Here is a 20,574-nt window from a genome sequence, read left to right on the forward strand (position 1 = left end):
GGTGAAACCCCGTCTCTACTAAAAATACAAAAAGTTAGCCAGGTGTGGTGGCAGGCACCTGTAATCCCAGCTACTCAGGAGGCTGAGGCAGGAGAATCGCTTGAACCCGGGAGGCAGTGGTTACCGTGAGCTGAGATCACGCCATTGCACTGCAGCCTGGGTGACAAGAGTGAGACTCCGTCTCAAAAAAAAAAAAAAAAATCACATCTGCAAAGTCTTTTGCCATGTGCAGTAACCTGTGCACAAGTGCCAGGGAGCAGGACATAGACGTTTTGGGGAGGAGGGCACTATTCTGCCTACTGCAATGGTACTGAAGCAAAAGCAATTTTAAAGATTCTTAATATTTTCATCAGTTCGATAAATCAGAAGTGAACTCTTGAGGAGTCTTAAACATTTGGAGGAGGCTCTGTTGGAGAGCTGGCCCTTGCATGCCTCCACCACTATGTTGCTTAGCCATGACTTATCCCATTTCTTGAGGAAAGAGTAATGTGTTTTGGATCTGAGACACAGATGACTACATTCCCCTTGTCACCTTCACTTTGCCAATTCTCCATTTATTTCATTCTATAGAGACCTGACATATTGCCCTTAGAAACTGGCTACTCCCTAGAATACTGCCAATTTGGGGTTAGATGAGAACGATTATAAGATGGCTACTCAAAATAGTGCAGCTTGATTGAAGGTGTATTACAACATCCTCAGCAAATAATAAAAAATAGTGGATTAAAAAAAAAATTGCATTGGGGTTTTGTTTAAAAGGAGGTTACCCCTCCCTACATTGCTGTAGCATGGTGATTCTCTTTATTTTGGTCACTGTTATATTTCGTTCTGTTTGCAACACTATACTTCTATCAGCTGATGTGATGCAGCCAGCAGCTGCCCCCTTGTGTTAGAAATGTCCTATAGCTTAACCATGGAGAATCAGGACTTAATTCATTTACCCTGGCTCCTCCATTTCTTTCCCTGCCAACACAGCTGCAGCATAGCTCCTCCATCTAGAAACCTGGCAGCTATCCCAGCTGGAAGCTACCTGCCAACACTTTTCTGAAGACCAGCCAGAGGAGGAAGAACAGGAGGGCAGAGGGCTGAGGAGGGAGGCAAGAGAAGATGCAAATCTAATTGCACTGGCCTCCAGCCCTCTTCAGATCTCTGTGCTTCCAGAGGGGGTGACATACCATCAGCCATGACTGATCTTGCTTGTAAAAGTCCTATTTAGATGTAAGCACACTTCCCTGAGGTTTCAGATTCCAGAATTACCCTAATATTCCTCTTTACTTTGCAGTTATGCAGAACCAGGAACACCCCACTGACTGGAATAATGACCTCCCAGGCAGAAGAGTGGTGGATTGATGTTCTGATGTCTCTTTACCCTTATACTAGTCATTAAATTATGTACCTTCTTCTCACCTCCATAATGAGCCACAACGCTGTCCAACTTTTCTAGGAGAGGACCTCTTGTTAATGTCAAATTTTATACCATTCCCACATGATAGTAGTTGTACTTTTAGTATCTGTTGATTTTTAAAATATGTGATAAAAAGCACCTGAGTTCAATAAGATTTGGATTAAGTTTTATTTTAATCACACGGTATTGAATTACATTTGAAAATCAGCAAGGACGGGGACGCTGCAGTACCCTGTAAATACCAGTGAGATGAATAAAGAAAGTGCTTGGGGTGCATATGGATTCATGGACCTTTTTACAATAACTCAACACCCTAGAGAAGGAGTGGTTCACAGGCTGGGGCACCACTGGAGAGAAACAGGGGCCAAACTTGCTCAGTTTTGTGTGTGCATGGGCCGGGTCCAGGAGCAGCTCTGTGAGCTCCTTCCAAGTCTGTGCCCTTGGGAAAAGATCAGTGTTTAGATCAGGCCCACCCACAGGAAACCACACTGTTAAAATCCCTTCTTTCGTGGTTCTGAAATCTTCAAAATAAACAAAGCTACCCTGTAGGCTGGGACTTCAGTTGTATCCTTTTGGTTCATGTTACAAACTTTACAAGGAAAAGTGGCCTCATGGCAGCTGGAGCAAAGGAGGGAAATTAAGTAGACAAGACACTTCCTAGGACAGGCGGCTCTAGTCCAGGGGCCTCCCAAGGGGAGCGTGATTTCAAGTTTGCTGCTCTCCCACAAACGAGATGGTAGCTAAAGAAAAGGTAAATGAAGAGAGCTGGCTAGAAACAGAGGTGATAATTCAAGTACTTAGAAACCAGTAGGGCCTGGGTGTCAGTGCATTGGAATGATCCATGAGCCAGAGCTCCTAAAAAGGCCCTGAAGCACAGTCTTCTCCCCACTACCCTAAGGAGCAGGTATTAACCCTTTGGTTGCTGGATCAAGGGAAGGTGAGGGGTTCCAAGGTGGCTGGGGTGGTTGTACAGGGAGTGGATGCAGAGGCAACTTAGCAGCCAGTAAGGAAGCATTTCAATATTTAACAACTGGATATGCTACACCCCTGCATATTGGCAGCTGAAATCTGTAATCAAGAACTCGATGTGTCTCATAGAGGGTTTTGGAGCCATGGGGAGAAAATATTGACAAAATCCAGTTCCTTTGTTTCTCTCACTATTGCTCTAACTGGTTAAAACCTAGGCTCCCTTCTCCTGAGAAAATGACACCTTTAGATAAAAGCATCTCTTCCCGAGGTGGAAAAAGAGACTGCTATGACTGAGTGCCTACCGTGTGCCTACCCCGAGCTTGGAGTTTTATAAACATGTCTTCATTTTCCCCTGCGAGCACCACCTGGGTGGGTATTTATTACTCCCATCATACAGACGAGCAGCCTGGTGCCCAGGGTCACACGTCTGGTAAAAGGTGGATCCAAGCTCCACCCAAATCTCCCTGACTCCTGAGCTGGAACCTTCTTTCCCACCTCATCACACTACAGTTTTGAAGGTTTTCTTGTTAACATGTCAGTGATACAATTCTCCAGGTGGGCATTAGTGCTGTGCATTTTATCAAACAGGTCCACTGTATTCTTTCTAACCCTTCAAATGAGTCTTCTTATATAACAATATTTTCATTTTGTTTCCATTTATTAATTCAACTAGTAACTCTTTTTGAGAAGGAGTCTTGCTCTGTCACCCAGGCTGGAGTGCAGTGGTGCTATCTCGGCTCACTGCAAGCTCTGACTCCCGGGTTCACGCCATTCTCCTGCCTCAGCCTCCCAGGTAGCTGGGACTACAGGGGCCCACCACCATGCCCAGCTAATTTTTTTTGTATTTTTAGTAGAGACAGGGTTTCACCGTGTTAGCCAGGATCGTCTCGATCTCCTGACCTTGTGATCTGCCCACCGCAGCCTCCCAAAAGGCTGGGATTATAGGTGTGAGCCACCGCGCCCTGCCAACTAGTAACTCTTTAATCAATCTAATCACATTGAATTTATCACTTACAGTGGAGCAATGAATGAAGCCACATGTAACTTATTATTTGAAGTACATGCTTACCATACGTAACAAGGCCTTTCAGCTTTACCTGTTTCACATAGGCCTCCTGATATGGTTTGGCTGTGTCCCCACCCAAATCTCATCTTGTATTCCCATGTGTTGTGGGAGGGACTTGGTGGGAGGTAATTGAATCATGGGGGCAGGCCTTTCCTGTGCTGTTCTCGTGATAGTGAGTCTCACGAGATCTGATGGTCATGATTAGGGGGAGTTTTCCCGCACAAGCTCTCTCTTTGCCTGCTCCCATCCATGTAAGACATGACTTGCTCCTCCTTGCCTTCTGCTATGATTGTGAGGCTTCCCCAGCCACGTGGAACTGCAAGTCCAATAAGCCCTTTTTACTGTATAAATTACCCAGTCTAGGGTATGTCTTTATCAGCAGCATGAAAACAAGCTAATACACCTCCTTATTATCAAATATAAGCTATAGTTCAATTAAAAACATAAACATATGTACATATGCATAAACATTCCCCAAAAGATAACAGTTGTGGTAATTGTCAAAGTTTTCCTTGGATTTTCATCGAAAGCATTTTCCATGGAAATCAATTCCATGGGCTTGTTCATGTGAGCAATGCCTCACGATAGAGGTGATGTCTTTCCATTAAACATTTCCAACCCTCATTACACCTCAGCCTTTTTACCTCTACCATTTGTTGATAATGTAAGGTTATAAAAACCAACAAATACAAATCAATAACAATGTCCATTCCCAATTAATTTTATCTAACATTTGATACATGCTGGCAGGGCAATGAGTAAAGCCTTTCTTTGCGGGGAGTGAGGGTTTGTGGAGTAAAATGCCTTCGTTTCTAACCTTAGCCCTCCTGTTCCTTCCCAAGGTGTGCTCAGCCTCCTCCTGTGATGTATCTGGATTTCATCCTCCATGGTGAAAGGCAAAAGGCTGTTTATCTCTTCTCTGGTCTGTGTATGAAAGCTACATGAAAATGAGCATTGAAAGGGTTAAGTGCACTCTTCATGCAGAAAGACAAAACTTGTGGATTTTCTATTCCATTGGGTCCAAACAAGAAGAACGGTCTGTTGCTATTATTTTAGGATTCAACTCAATAGCTGATAAATTTGATTTCTTTCACACTCGGCAAAGACTTGAAACATTGTAGCCCCAGAATGGGAAGTCTCTTCTCCGAACTTATGAACATGTAACTCTTCAGTTCTCCCTCAACTTTATTAAGCATATTGAGTTTCAAAAGACATTCCTACTCTCCTTCTTCAATATCTTCTCTTTTTAAACGTTACTTTATTTTTTAAATGTATTATGCAGTTTTTAAGACTTTCAAAAAGGGATAAGGAAAACCAAACCAATACCTACGTATCTATCAAGCAGCTCAAGAAATACAACATTAGGAGCAGTTAAATCCACTATTTATGCTCACTGCCTTCTAGATAGAGTCTGTTACTTCCCAGAGGTCAATTCCTGAGAGCCTAGGGACCTGGGCATTGTCTTTGCCATCTTTGTGAGGCCCTGGAGATTCCCTTTATGTCTCTGGCTTCTATGTTGTCGAAGTCTAGGTTGACCTCGTGATTTTTGAGGCTGTGGGTTAGCCTTGCAATGTCTGGAACTTGGCTATGGGTTTTGAATGCTTTTCCTTGGGCCTTGTCGTCAGATGGAAGCGCACATAGCTTCCCATGGCCACCTCTTCCAGGATGTTCAATGAGAAGTCCCAAAGCCCCGCATGAGGATCAGCCTGAGAGGCCAAGGGAAGCTGACCAAGCTCTCTGAACTTGAAATGGACTAGACTCATAAAGGAGGAAGCAGTGCCACTGTTTCCTGGAGCCTCAGCCCCCTATGGGGACACCTTGTACTGACAGGGTGAGCCGGGCTGAGGCTGGGTTTGAGGGCAGGTCCAGCTGTCCTCTCACTTGGCCTCTTCTGAGCAGGGTTTCTCTTCCAGCCGTGGCACTGTCCTGGCTGGAGAGCTTCAGGGCAGTGTCTGCCCCATACCCTCATCTGGGCTCTGAGATGGCTTCGTGGGTCATTTTTGGTGAAGGGGGAGCTCAGAATATTTGCATTATTTTGTGGACATTGGTCTTGACTAAGAATAACTAAGAATTGAAGGCCCAGGGGTCTTAAAGATAAGAAAAAAATGCAAAAACTTAAGGAGTCATTTGCCCTGTTGCTCCTGGATATTGCAGCCAAATAAACACATTCCCAAATTTATTTATGTTGCAGACCAGTCATTTTTCCTTATACAGGAATCTTATTAAAGCAATAAATCAATGTTAACCTGGGTTTTAAATTGGCCCAATATGTTTGGAGAAATTGCTGGTTTAATTTTCCTCTTTTTCATTTTTCAATTAACTAATTTAGCTTTCCCAGTTGGGATACCACAAACCTTAACACATGAATTTATCTTGAAACCAGGAGGCCCCAACATACATTGCCAGCAAAACAAAAGAGGAAAACCCAACATTTGTCCTGTCATGAGACAGCAAAGAAGCACGGGTCCAGAAAATATCTATCTTTGTTGCTGCAAACTACCTAAGCCTAAGCTCTGTGAAGCAGCCTCAACTGCCTGTAGACTCCCCTGAATACTCTTTCTGAATTTTCTCCACATTCACTGTGACTAAAAGTTTCCAGAGCATCTCTGTTGTAGACTGAATGTTTATATCCCTCCTACTTCCCCAAAACTCATATGTTGAAGCCCTGACCCCTGATGTGACTGTATTTGGAGACAGGGCCTTTACAGAAGTAATTAAGGTTAAATGAGGCTATAGGATGGGGCTCTGATCTAATAGGATTGGTGTCCTTAAGAGACACCAGAGAGCTTGTTTACTCTCTGAGTGTACAAGAAGAGGTCGTATGGGCACACAATGAGATGGTGGCCACCTGCGAAGAGAAGAGGCCTCAGAATGAAACCCACCCTTCTGGCACCTTGATCTTGGATTTCCAATCTCCAGAACTGTGAGAAAATAAACTTTTGTTCTTCAAGCCATGCAATTTCTACTATTTTGTTACGACAGCCCAAGCTGACTAAACAGTTACCCAGCAATGTTTTCCCAGGAACACTGTGAAAACTGCTGGTGCCCTGCCATCCGCCTGGGAGTGCTTAGTACCCCAGCATACATGTACAACTGGACGGATCTCAGCCAAGGGACCTCATCACCCACCACAGCTTCGCTATATTATAACACAGTCCAAGACTCCAGAGTATGAATGGGCCCAGATAGCAAAGCAAGCTTCTTTCCCACCAACCTCAGAGCAAAATGTGTATGTGAGAGTGTGTGTCTGTTGGGGAGGGGAGACTTTTGCAATGGACCAATCCTCCAAGTGTCCTCAACTTCATGGGTGCGTTGTGATTTGTTCTCCACCCTGAAGCCTGCAACTTGGACTTGTGAGACCTGGCCTTAGGAAAATACAGGCTCAGTGAATGCTAAGTTTGTGGGGAAGCTGTTTTGTAGAGTCAAAAGAACACCGGCTTTGGAGTCAGACAAAGCTAGGTTCAAATTCCAGCTTTTTAGTGCATTGACCAAAATAGTAAAAGTAAGGACTCATTGTCTAAACTAATAGAGCTGACAAATCCAGGCATGTGTTTTGCCTTCAGGAACAGCTACATCCAGGCACTCAAAAGACATCATTGGAAATCTATTTCCTTCTCTCTTTCTGCTCCAGTGATTTCTCTATTGGCCTCATTCTGAGGACAGTGCTTCCTCAGCAGCTCCAGACTCACATGATGAATGGAGGAAGAAGGTCTCTGCCAAGATTTATAACACAGGTCTTGGTGAGGCTGCTGATTGGTGAATCCTAAGTCACATGTACACTCTTGCAGGGAGGTTGGGGTGGGAGAGGGAAGTAATCGATCTCATTCAACTTCAGGAAAGGTGGTGCTGTTACTTAAGGATAAAGGGATGCTGGGCAGGAAAAAAATAACACATGTCTGTATAGACACTGTGGAGCTCTGTGACTCTGAGCAAGTTATTTAACCTCTCTGATCCTCAAGTTCCCCCTTTGCAAAATGGCTAAACCAGTGTCTACCATGTTTAAAGTTATGAATATTATATGTACTCCTAGCATAGCTCAAGACACAGAAAGGACTCTCTCCCTCTTCCTTTTACCTGCCCCTCTCCTGGAGACCTGGGGAAGCTTAAGGAGTTTGGATTGTATTGAAAGTGTCATGCTGTTTCAGGCTGGACAGGCCTTGGATGGTGCAAAAACTTCAGAACCCACTCAGTGGGGCTTTTATGTCAGGGGTTGGTTCCACTAGGGAAAGGTTGCCTCAGGGCAGAGTGGGGCTCTGAGGATTCCCTGGCTGGCGCAGCTCTGGGACATCCAAGTGGGTTGACAGAGTCCTTTCAAAGGCAGTTTTCTGACAGGAGAGCTCAGAATAGCCAACAGGAAACTTTCTGTTATACTCTGGAATTAAAACCAAGCCTCTCACTGCGTGTATTACTGTCCTGTAAACAGTAGACAGTCCCTGTCAGACCTGTGGGGTTTCTCACCCAAACAACCACTGCACTACCTGAATTGAGCCTGTGAACTCTAAAGAATCCTAATGAAAATATACCACCACAAATGCTCCAAAGAGCCTGCTTTAACACACTGGAATCATGTACCTGCCCAGCTGGTGACAGGGTTAAAACTGCCAAATTTGTCTTTCCCACTGCTACCTGCGCTCCCTTCCTAACCATCCACACCAAACTTTGTGATTCCTTTATTTATAGGTTAAAAGACTGTGGGCACCTGTGCCCTCAGCTCTGTCTAGATTTATGATGAGCCAAACGGGAGGCTGGAACCACCTGCCAGCCTCACTAACACCCACTGGAAGGAGGTCTAGCAACTTAGTAGCCCACTTTTGCCCTGATGCTGCATTTTTAAAGGTCACCTACAGATTCTGAGGAAATCCAAAAGAGACTAAAAAATATATATAATTTAATAGATTTTTTTAAGAGTTTCATCACTTAGTTTCTTTGGCTCCATCTTGATTTATTCTGGGACATTGCCACAGGACCTTGCTTTGATAGCTGCTATAGAGGATATCAAGACCTCTCCTTATATCTCTACAGAGTCTCAACAATGCCTTTCTCACCTCAGCAAGCTGCTGTGCAATTAAACGAGATATATTAAAGTGTTGTGAGCGCTTTGCTGGAAAAGTTCTGTAATCCAAAGATAGCATTATGATTAGTGGCAGTGAATATGATATTTTCTCTTTGGGCAATCAGTGGCTTAGTTAGAACAGTGGATAATTCATGGGCAACACAAGATGGTTCTGTTAATAACTTGGGGTTAAGCTCAAGCTTTAGAATGGAAATGTGCTACAAAGCAGTTTTGGTATGGGCACATAAGTGTTGTTGGGACCATCACCTCCATCAGAGATGGTGATTTTGGGTAAAATTGCCAAAGTTGAGGTGGTTCACAAAGGTCTTTGTGTAAATGCAGACAAATGGTGTATCACCGTAAAGGGAAACTCATATCAATGGGCCTGACTTGACTCCCTTTTGAGGGGTCCAAACAGCTTCTAATTTATGTAATTTACGTCTTTTATTTAAAATCCATTTCCTCAGTACAGTTGTATCATGCATGGTAATTGTAGGATTGCTAATTTTTAAAGAGCTTCCTTTGATAGAGTGAGGAAAAGCCCTGTATACACCAGGGAGAGTGTGAATTGGTACAACTTCTTTCAAAAATGATTTTGCAATATCTGGCCAAATGTAAAATGCAAAACTCCTATAACACAGTGTGAAAGACAAATAAAAACTCAGGACCCCGATTCACTATGCCAAAAGGAAAAAATTAAGATGAAAGCTGAGTCATACAAGAAGCTGCCCTTCCTTTTGTTCCTAAGCAGATAAAAGGTTAACTATCTCCACAGGTATGTTCACCTTATCTGATAATAAATTGCCGACTTACTGAGCATGAGACAAATGCGTAATTGATTATTCCCCTACCTGCTCCTTTTCCCTTGCAATGTGTGGATGCCCATACCCTCTCTCTTACTCCTCCACCCCACTTTTCCCCTTTAAATATTGAAACCCTCAAATTCACTTTTGGAGAAAGGCACAGACGACAGACTGTCTCTGTGATTCTGTGTTGTTTTCTTTCTCCTGGCCATGTCCTTAACCTTGGCAAAATAAACTTCTAAATTGATTGAGACCTGTCTCATATACTTTTTGGTTTACAAATTGTCAAGCATGAAGGGACTTTGAGTGGAGGTGGTCCTGACCTTTGACAAATCTCCCAGTGGTGTTTGATACCAGCTTGGGGTATCTTTATTGCTCAAACCAACAGGACAATTTGCTGATGTCTGGGAGGTGCCCCCTCCAGAGAATCCCTGATCCTCCAAAGTTTGGTTGAGATCTCCAAAGTTGGGTTTGCTCTTCAACTCCTTTTCTGGAGGTTTACTCACTTCCAACAAGGAAGGTGAGTTTTCCTGCTTCTGTGATGATAAAGGGCAGGCAATTCCTTTCCGGTGTTTCAGCTCACTTCCAATAGGGAAAGCGAGTTTGAGTTTTTTCCTGTTTCTAAGATGGTAGAGAGCAGTCTTGAGCCTGGGCAACAATCTTAGGTAAGTAGCCGAACTGGGGTTTTGTCTTGAAAATTCTCCACAATGACTAAAAGTTAAGGTTGACCACCAGCTGATCTTCATTTCTCCTTACCATTAAATCACTCAATAATTTTTTTTTTGGTAGGTTGTTCCATCTTTCTCCCATCAGATTTGATCAACTCTACCTGACTTGGTCAAATCTTAAGGAGAATTCCAAATTATGGGGAGCAAGGCCTCTGGGTAAAATTCCTTGCAGCTGCAAAAACAAAAAAACAAACAAAACAACAACAACAAAAAATGAACCCATACAGTTGGTTTCTCTGTTCTCTTTCTTCCTTCCTTTCCTTCCTTCCTTCCTTCCTTCCTTCCTTCCTTTCCTTTCCCTTTCCTCCCTCCCTTCTCCCTTTCTTTCTTTCTTTTTCTTTCTTTCCTTTTTTTCCTTTCCTTTCTTTCTTACTTTTCTTTCTACTTTTCTTTTCTTTCTCTCTTTTTTTTTGGATGGAATCTTGCTATATCACCCAGGCTGGAGTGCGGTGGTACGATCTTGGATAACTACAGCCTCTGCTTCCTGTGTTCAAACAATTCTCCTGCCTCAGCCACCCAAGTAGCTTGGACTGCAGGTGAACGCCACCACACCCAGCTAATTTTGTATTTTTAGTAGAGATGGGGTTTCACCATGTTGGTCAGGCTGGTCTCAATCTCCTGACCTCAAGTGATCCACCCACCTCGGCCTCCCAAAGTGCTGGGATGACAGACAGGAGCCACCGTGCCTGGCTTTCCTTTCTTAAAAAAAAATTGTTCTTTTTTTCATTATTATTTTTAATTTTTTCATTATTTTTTCCCACCCTATTCTTCCTTCCCTTTTGCCATCTTCAGTACCAAGTGAAAAAAATCTAGAGAGGGCTTCTAAAGACTCAAGCCCCTTAAAGAATTGAGAATAAAGGCACCATTCATCTCTGTTTTGGATGTTCTGCTTTCTTTGGGGAGTTTCTAGAGTCATGGACATATTCTTCTCAGATCTAAAGCTCTGCTTTTTTGCATGGTGTTACCTGACCTCTTTGGCTTTTGGGGGCACCTGAGATTACCTAGTACTGTGAGGGGATTTGACCTTGGCATGTGTAATAGATAAGAGCTACAATGTTAGGGGAAGTTGAGGACAGTTTACAGAAAATGGTCATTACTACAGGAGGCTACTAGTTTTTTGCATGCTTAGATTAGAAAATTGTACATGCTTTCTTGATCCTGTTTCCTAAAGGTCTCCACCCTAAAGCCAGTAATCTAATCAAGCTAAATTGAAACCACAACCTATCAAACTAAGTCACTTTAATAAAACTCTTTGTAAGGGAAATACATGTCTTTAAAGGAAATCTCCATTTTGTAAGGGCATCTCTGTCTCTGCACCTAAACCACTAGGAAATTTAGGGGGAAAGACAGTAGCTTGAAGTTTACATAACAGACCTTGCATTTGTTTAGACTTACGTCTGCGACTTTGAATTTTCTACCTTGCTTCACTTAAGTCATGTCTTTGGAGATGAAAATTTAGAGTTGCCTAATTAACTATTGTTTAGGACATGGAACAGATAATCAAGAGATTAATAGTCTAAAGTAGGGAAGAGAAATTTTTTGAAAACAGGTAAATGAAAAATTTTAAATCTGTAAAATTCACCTCTGTCTGAGCTTGCTATGTCTGTATGTTTATAAAGTCAGGTAGAAATAATATTTCACTACCAATTAGAAGAAAGAGCTCTCATTAATTGACTTTTAAAAAATAAGCATTTATCAGACCAATAGAAGCTAACTCAGAGGCTTTTCAGTTCACATGACTTCAGTATTTTTTGGTAAGATTAATTTGGTATATTTAGTTTCAAAATTCTCCCCAGTAATTTAAAATCTTAAAGTCATGTTACTTTTTTATTTTAATTTTTTTGGGTACATGGTAGGTATACACATATATTCATGTGATATTTTGGTATAGGCATGCATTGTGTAATAATCATATCATGGAAAATGGGGTATCCATTCCTCAAGCATTTATTCTTTGTGTTATAAACCAATTATACTCTTTTAGTTATTTTTAAATGAACAGTTAATTTATTTTGACTATAGTCACCCTGTTGTGCTATCAAATACTAGGTCTTATTCATTCTTTCTATTTTTTTGTACCCATTAACCATCCCCACCTCTGCTACACCCCCTCATGTTGTGATCAATTAAGTGATCCTACCTTTTTCACTAGGAATTAAGGTTACTAAGAGTTAGAATAGTGGGAGGGTAAGATGTGTTTTGGTAAACTTTGTGAAAAAAAAACAGAGAATGTGGTTTTTGTTTAAGAAAATGTAACTTTTCTAGTTTAGAAGGCCTTTCTACTGGTGTTGAGATAAAAACCACTGTTTGCATCCAAGCATTTTTTTTTTTGTAAACTTGTAAATTTGTATTGATATCTCATGGCTACAGTTCCAAAGTAAAAGCTATAGAATCTTTATTTGTATGAGTAAGTGTGCATGTGTGCTTAGGTGTATTTAAATGTACGTATATGTGTTTTGTTACGTGTTATGGCCATAAGGTACCAAATTGGCTTAAAAATAAAGGAATATTCATAAATTAAGTAAATAAGCCCAAATACTTTTCAAGTTCAAGCTACTTAAGTAAATTTTTAATCAATAAGCTGGCTCTTAAATAATTGGTAAAATGAAATGAGAATGGATTCAGAATTGTCAACATATATTATTTTTTTGATTTATTGGCCAAGCAGTTTTATATTTATCTGTGCTAAATATTATCAGATGTCAAGATTTGACATGAGGGTTATAAAGCTCTAAATGAAGCCCAAAAGAAGATTATCATGTAATTTTTTGATAAATAGGTATGTAATATTATCAATTTAATAAAAAATAGCTAAATCCTGTCTTACTAAAAAAAAAGCCACATTTACTTAACCTTAAATTTCTTACTTAGGTTAGCAACTGAAATTCACAGACTATAAAAAATGGTTAACAAGAAAATAACTTTAAATGATGACAATCACAGTTTTCATAAGTAATCTAGGTAAATTAATTTTTACAAAACGTAATTAGGTTAATATAACAATAAGTGGTTGTAAAACAAATGTATATATAATAATTTAGAATCTACAGTTAAATTAAATCATAGATATTCATTAAATGTTAGGGTCACCTAGCTTTTTAAAACAATTACAGGAAAATATTTTTCTAAAAAACAATATGTTCTTATTAAAAGGGAATAGTTTGTCTAATTCAAAGGTTATTTAAAGGTTATTTATAAAACAAGGTAAAATGAACCAGTAAATAAGAAAGATGTAAAGAAAGATAAGTACAAAGTAATACTTTTGGTAAGAAAGGTTAAAAGGAAAATAATTTTACATGAGAAGGAATCGTGTGGTAAAATTTTTGTCTTAAAACAAAATAATTGGTTATTTAAGAAAGAGGGATGTTTAGGATAAAACAGGAAGTCCAAGGGTGTCATAAATGGTTTGTATAAGTCATAATAAGGTTTGTAAAAAGACAATTTATGGAAAAAACACTTTATGTAATCAAGCTGGTTATAATTAAATTACTTACAATAGTCTTTCTAGAGATTGGGCTTTTATATTAAAAATACACTGAAGAATGGGTTAGAACAACAAAATTTTCTTAAGGTATTGATTTACTCTTCATAAAATGACAAGAGATTTTAATTTTTAACCCAAAAGTTTAATTTTTATTGTGTCTCACTGTTTTCAGCTTTCTCCCCCCATCAAGAAGGCCTGATATAATAACTCTCTTCTTCAACATTTTTGTCAGCTCCTGTAACTTTTTTCCTTCAGATTCTAACTGATGTTGTGGACTGATGCTAAAAATGTTTTATTTTAAAGGTCTAAAGGAAATGTCTTTTTCCAATGTAACGTCCTGTGCACGTGGCTTTAAATTCTTATATAAAATAGAAAACTGTCACTTAGGACACGGGACACACTCTTCCTACGTCTAAGTAAGTCAAGCCATTTTCATAAATTTTAACTTGCAGCCTATCTAAATGGACTCCCCGTAGGGAAAAGCAATCACATTTCAGAAGGTCTTTTGTTTGTTTGTTTGCCTTGTGGTAACTGGCTTAACAAATAGATTTTATATTTTATTGAAATAATTTCTACATCATTGTTATTAAGTTTTTTTATTTGCCTAGAAAAGCTGAAATTAAAAAGTTGAGTTTATTACATCCATGTAATTTTCTGTATTGCTTTTAAAGTATTTGTGTTAAGTTATAGAGCTTTGACTCCTCAGTCTAAAAGGGACACCAAGTCCTGCTAAATCTTAAACACTGACAGCAGTTAAGGTCTCATCCTCAGATCCAAGAGAAGATGACAATCAAAATAAGCCAAATTCATGAGACACAGGGTCAGAAATTAAAACTAACCCCTGTAGACCCGAGGACTATTGCAGAAGAGGTGGGAGCATGAGATTGTAAGGGTCGATTTTGAGAAATAAAATTAGTTCAGAATTTCTGTATAAATTAAACATTAATATCAAAGGCACAGTGATGCAAGACCAGCATCTGGGCCCCTATGTCAGATTAACAATGTTTTCTTGGAGCATTAACTTACTCTTTAATAAAAGCAATTACAAAAGGTTATAAAAAGGTTTATAGAAATTGCATCTTGTGGTCAAGATGATTAAAATTTAATAGATTTATTTATAAGATTTGAGAGACAGATTTAATTAGCCTCATTCTATCTTTATTAGGGCTTACTGTTTGGAAAGTAAGTCTCTTTCAAAGAATAAAGACTTTTGCCTTTTTTGAAATCTTTGAGTTGTCACTTTGGTTAAATGAATGACTTATTTCACAATGACCTGTGACCCTATTTTGTGATAATTAGGTGTTTTAAACTTTTGATATTTGATAAACTTTCCAAAATCAAATTCTAAATTTTGCCTTTTTGACCTCATTAATTTTTTGATATACGGTCCCTGAAGTCCAAAAGGGACGTATTTGGCTCATTTGGTATACTAAAATCATACAGGAAGAATTGTCAAGTATGAAATGGTGTTAACCTTCTTTAGATTAGGTTTATATAACTGTATTATTAGTAAGTGTTCCAAAATTTTATGAGATCTTGTGATTCTAATATGTCTTAGTATATCTTATCAGTAGTAATTATGATTGTTATGTAAATTGTTTTATGCCACAGAAGTAACCAAATTTCCTTGTTAATCGTGTATTGTTTTTTATTATTTTTATTTTTCCATAAGTTATTGGGGTATTGGGGTATAGGTGGTATTTGGTTACATGTGTAGTTCTTTAGTAGTGATTTGTGAGATTTTGGTGCACCTCTCACCCTAGCAGTATACACTGCACCATATTTGTAGTCTTTTATCTCTCACCACCCCCCAACTCTTCCCCCCAAGTCCCCAGATTCCATTGTATCGTTCTTATACCTTTGTGTCCTCATAGCTTAGCTCCCACATATCAGTGAGAACATACAATGTTTGGTTTTCCATTCCTGAGTTACATCACTTAGAATAATAATCTCCAATCTCAACCAAGTCACTGCAAACATGGTTAATTCATTCCTTTTATGGCTGTGTAGTATTCCATCATATATCATATATATATACACACACACCACAGTTTCTTTATCTACTTGTTGGTTAATGGGCATTTGTGTTAGTTCCACGATTTTGCAATTGTGAATTGTGCTGCTATAAACATGTGTGTGCAAGTATCTTTTTTGAATAATGACTTATTTTCCTCTGCGTAGATACCCAATAGTGGGATTGCTGGATCAAATGGTAGTTCTACTTTTAGTTCTTTAAGGAATCTCCACACTGTTTTCCATAATGGTTGTAGTAGTTTACATTTCCACCAGCAGTGTAGAAGTGTTCCTTGTTCACTGCATCCATGCCAACATCTACTGTTTTTTGATTATGGCCATTCTTGCAGGAGTAAGGTAGTATCGCATTGTGGTTTTGAGGTGCATTTCCCTGATCATTAGCGATGTTGAGCATTTTTTTATATGATTGTTGGCCATTTGTGTATCTTCTTTTGAGAATTGTCTATTCATGTCCTTAGCCCACTTTTTGGTGGGATAATTTGTTTTTTTGTTACTGATTTGTTTGAGTTTGTTGTAGATTCTGGATATTAGTCCTTTGTCAGATGTATAGATTGTGGAGATTTTCTCCCACTCTGTGGGTTGTCTTTTTACTCTGCAGACTGTTCCTTTTATTGTGCAAAAGCTCCTTAGTTTAATTGGGTCCCAGCTATTTATCTTTGTTTTTATTGCATTTGTTTTTGGGTTCTTGGTCATGAAATCCTTGCCTAAGCCAATGTCTAGGAGGCTTTTTCCAATATTATCTTCTAGAATTTTTATAGTTTCAGGTCTTAGGTTTAAGTCCTTAATCCATCTTGAGTTGATTTTTGTATAAGGTGAGAAATGCAGATCCAGTTTAATTCTCCTACAGGTGGCTAGCCAATTATCACAGCACCATTTGTTGAAAAGGGTGTCCTTCGCCCATTTTATGTTTTTGTTTGCCATGTCGAAGATCAGTGGGCTATAAGTATTTGGGTTTATTCCTGGGTTCTCTATTCTGTTCCACTGGTCTACGTGCCTATTTTTATACTAATACGATGCTGTTTTGGTGACTATGGCCTTATAGTATAGTTTGAAATCAGGTAGCGTGATGCCTCCAGATTTGTCCTTTTTGCATACTCTTGCTTTGGCTATGTGAGCTCTTTTTTGGTTCCATATGAATTTTAGAATTGTTTTTTCTAATTCTGTGAAGAATGTTGGTGATAGTTTGATGGGGATTGCACGGAATTTGTAGATTGCTTTGGCAGTATGGTCCTTTTCACAATGTTGATTCTACCCATCCATGAGTATGGGATGTGTTTCCATTTGTTTGTGTCATCTATGACTCCTTTCAGCAGTGTTTTGTAGTTGTCTTTGTAGAGGTCTTTCAACTCCTTTGTTAGGTATATTCCTAAGTATTTTATTTTATTTTTTTTCCAGCTATTGTAAAAGGGGCTGAGTTCCTGATTTGATTCTCTACCTGGTCACTGTTGGTATATAGAAGAGCTACTGATTTGTGTACATTAATCTTGTATCCGGAAACTTTGCTGAATTCTTTTATCAGTTCTAGGAGCTTTCTAGGGGAGTCTTTAGGGTTTCAAGATAAACAATCATATTGTCAGCAAACAGTGACAGTTTGACTTCCTCTTTACCAATTTGGATGCCCTTATTTCTTTCTCTGGTCTGATCAGTCTGGCTAGGACTTCCAGTACCATGCTGAAGAAGAGTGGTGAGAATGGGCATCCTTGTCCTGTTCCAGTTCTCAGAGGGAATGCTTTCAACTTTTCCCCATTCGGCATTATGTTGGCTGTGGGTTTGTCATAGATGGCTTTTATTACATTAAGGTATGTCCCTTGAATGCCGATTTTACCGAGAGTTTTAATCATAAAGCAATGCTGGATTTTGTCTAATGCTTTTTCTGCATCTATTAAGATGATCATGTGATTTTTGTTTTTATTCCTGTTTATGTGGTGTATCACATTTATTGACTCATGTATGTTAAATCATCCCTGCATCCCTGGTATGAAACCCACTCGATCGAGGTGGCTTATCCTTTTGATATGTTGTTGAATTCAGTTAGCTAGTATTTTGTTAAGGATTTTAGCATCTATGTTTGTCAAGGATATCAGTCTGTAGTTTTCCTTTTTGGTTATGTCCTTTCCTGATTTTGGTATTAGGGTGATGCTGGCTTCATAGAATGAATTATGGAGGGGTTCTTCTTTCTCTATCTTGTGGAATAGTGTCAAGAGGATTAGTACCAATTCTTCTTTGAATGTCTGGTCGAATTCTGCTGTGAATCCATCTGGTCCGGGACTTTTTTTGTTGGTAATTTTTTAATTACCATTTCAATCTCACTGCTTCTTATTGGTCTGTTCAGGGTATCTAATTCTTCCTGATTTAAGCTAGGAGGGTTGTATTTTTCCAGGAATTTATCCATCTCTTCTAGATTTTCCAGTTTGTGTGTAAAAGTGTTCATAGTAGCCTTGAATGATCTTTTGTATTTCAGTGGTGTCAGTTCTAATATCCCCTGTTTCATTTCTTAATGAGGGTATTTCGATTTGCTCTCTTTTTTTCCTGGTTAATCTTGCCAATGGTCCATCAGTTTTATTTATCTTTTCAAGGAACTAGCTTTTTGTTTCATTTATCTCTTGTATTTTTTTGTTTCAATTTCATTTCATTATGCTCTGATCTTGGTTATTTCCTTTCTTCTGCTGGGTTTGGGTTTGGTTTATTCTTGTTTCTCTAGTTCCTTGACACATGACCTTATATTGTCTGTGCTCTTTCAGACTTTTTGATTTAGGCGTTTAGGGCTATGAACTTTCCTCTTAGGACCGCCTTTGATGTAGCCCAGAGGTTTTGATAGGTTGTGTCATTATTGTCATTCAGTTCAAAAAGTTTTTTAATTTCCATTTTGATTTTCTTTTTGACCCAATACTCATTCAGGAGCAGGTTATTTGATTTCCATGTATTTGCCTGGTTTTGAAGGTTCGTTTTGGAGTTGATTTCCAGTTTTATTCCACTGTGGTCTGAGAGAGTACTTGGTATAATTTCAATTTTCTTAAATTTATTGAGGCTCATTTTACGGCCTATCATATGGTCTATCTTGGAGCGTTCCATGAGCTGTCGAATAGAATGTGTATTCTGCAGTTGTTGGATGAAATGTTCTGTATATATCTGCTAAGTCCATTTGTTCCAAGGTATAGTTGAAATCCATTGTTTCTTTGTTGACTTTCTGTCTTTATGACCTGTCTAGTGCTGTCAGTGTGGAGTATTGAAGTTCTCCACTATTATTATGTTGCTATCTATCTCATTTCTTAGGACTATTAGTAATTGTTTTATAAATTTGGGAGCTCTTGCATTGAGTGCATATATATTTAGGATTGTGATATTTTCCTGTTGAACAAGGCCTTTTACTATTATATGCTGTCCCTCTTTGTCTCTTTTAACCACTGTTGCTTTAAAGTTTGTTTTGTCTGATATAAGAATAGCTACCCCTGCTTGCTTTTGCTGTCCATTTCCATGAAATGCCTTTTTCCACCCCTTTACTTTAAGTTTATGTGAGTCCTTACATGTCACGTGAGTCTCCTGAAGGCAGCAGATAGTTAGTTGGTGACTTCTTACTCATTCTACAGTTCTGTATCTTTTAAGTGGAGCATTTAGGCCATTTACATTCAACGTTAATATTGAAATGTGAGGTGCCATTGCTTTCATCATGCTCTTTGTTGCCTGTGTACTTTGTGTCTGTTGTTGTTGTTTTTGTTGTTTTGTGTTTGCTTTTTAACTTGTATTTTTGTTTTACAGATCCTGTGTGATTTTTGCTTTAAAGAGGTCCTGTTTTGATGTGTTCCCAGGATTTGTTTCAAGATTTGGAGCTTCTTTTAGCAGTTCTTGTAGTGGTGCCTTGGTAATGACGAATTCTGTCAGCATTTCTTTGTCTGAAAATGACTGTATCTTTCCTTCATCTATGATGCTTAGTTTCACTGGATACAAAATTGTTGGCTGATAATTGTTTTGTTTGAGGAGGCTGAAGATAGGTCCCCAGTCCCTTTTAACTTGTAGGGTTTCTGCTGAGAAATCTGCTGTTAATCTGACAGATTTTCCTTTGTAGGTTACCTGGTGCTTCTGTCTCACAGCTCTTAACATTCTTTCCTTTGTCTTGACTTTGGGCAACCTGATGACAATCTGCCTAGGTGAAGATATTTTTTGTGATGAATTTCCCAGGTGTTCTTTGTGCTTCTTGTATTTGGATGTCTAGGTGTCCTTAATGGCCAGAGAAGTTTTCCTTGATTATTCCCCCAAATATGTTTTCCAGGCTTTTAGAATTCTCTTCTTCCTCAGGTACACCAATTATTCGTAGGTTTTGTCATTTAACATAATCCCAGACTTCTTGGAGGCTTTGTTCCTATTTTCTTTTTTTTTTTTTTTTTTAATTATACTTTAAGTTTTAGGGTACATGTGCACATTGTGCAGGTTAGTTACATATGTATACATGTGCCATGCTGGTGCGCTGCACCCACTAACTCGTCATCTAGCATTAGGTATATCTCCCAATGCTACCCCTCCCCCCCTCCCCCCACCCCACCACAGTCCCCAGAGTGTGATATTCCCCTTCCTGTGACCATGTGATCTCATTGTTCAATTCCCACCTATGAGTGAGAATATGCGGTGTTTGGTTTTTTGTTCTTGCGATAGTTTACTGAGAATGATGGTTTCCAATTTCATCCATGTCCCTACAAAGGACATGAACTCATCTTTTTTTTATGGCTGCATAGTATTCCATGGTGTATATGTGCCACATTTTCTTAATCCAGTCTATCATTGTTGGACATTTGGGTTGGTTCCAAGTCTTTGCTATTGTGAATAATGCCGCAATAAACATACGTGTGCATGTGTCTTTATAGCAGCATGATTTATAGTCATTTGGGTATATACCCAGTAATGGGATGGCTGGGTCAAATGGTATTTCTAGTTCTAGATCCCTGAGGAATCGCCACACTGACTTCCACAATGGTTGAACTAGTTTACAGTCCCACCAACAGTGTAAAAGTGTTCCTATTTCTCCACATCCTCTCCAGCA

The 20,574-nt window shown here is 39.2% G+C and overlaps 1 long non-coding RNA gene across 1 annotated transcript in view; it reads left to right on the forward strand.

Annotated features, from left to right (window-relative positions):
- Positions 1-5,127, forward strand: part of LINC02284 (long intergenic non-protein coding RNA 2284) — a 116,044-nt gene extending 110,917 nt beyond the window's left edge. The window contains exon 7 of the long non-coding RNA NR_187174.1: positions 4,283-5,127. This is a non-coding gene — a long non-coding RNA (long intergenic non-protein coding RNA 2284). The remainder of the gene's footprint in view (positions 1-4,282) is intronic.
- The last annotated feature ends 15,447 nt before the right edge of the window (positions 5,128-20,574 follow it).

Source organism: Homo sapiens, chromosome 14 (assembly GCF_000001405.40).
Source record: "Homo sapiens chromosome 14, GRCh38.p14 Primary Assembly".
Taxonomy (NCBI): Eukaryota; Metazoa; Chordata; class Mammalia; order Primates; family Hominidae; genus Homo; species Homo sapiens.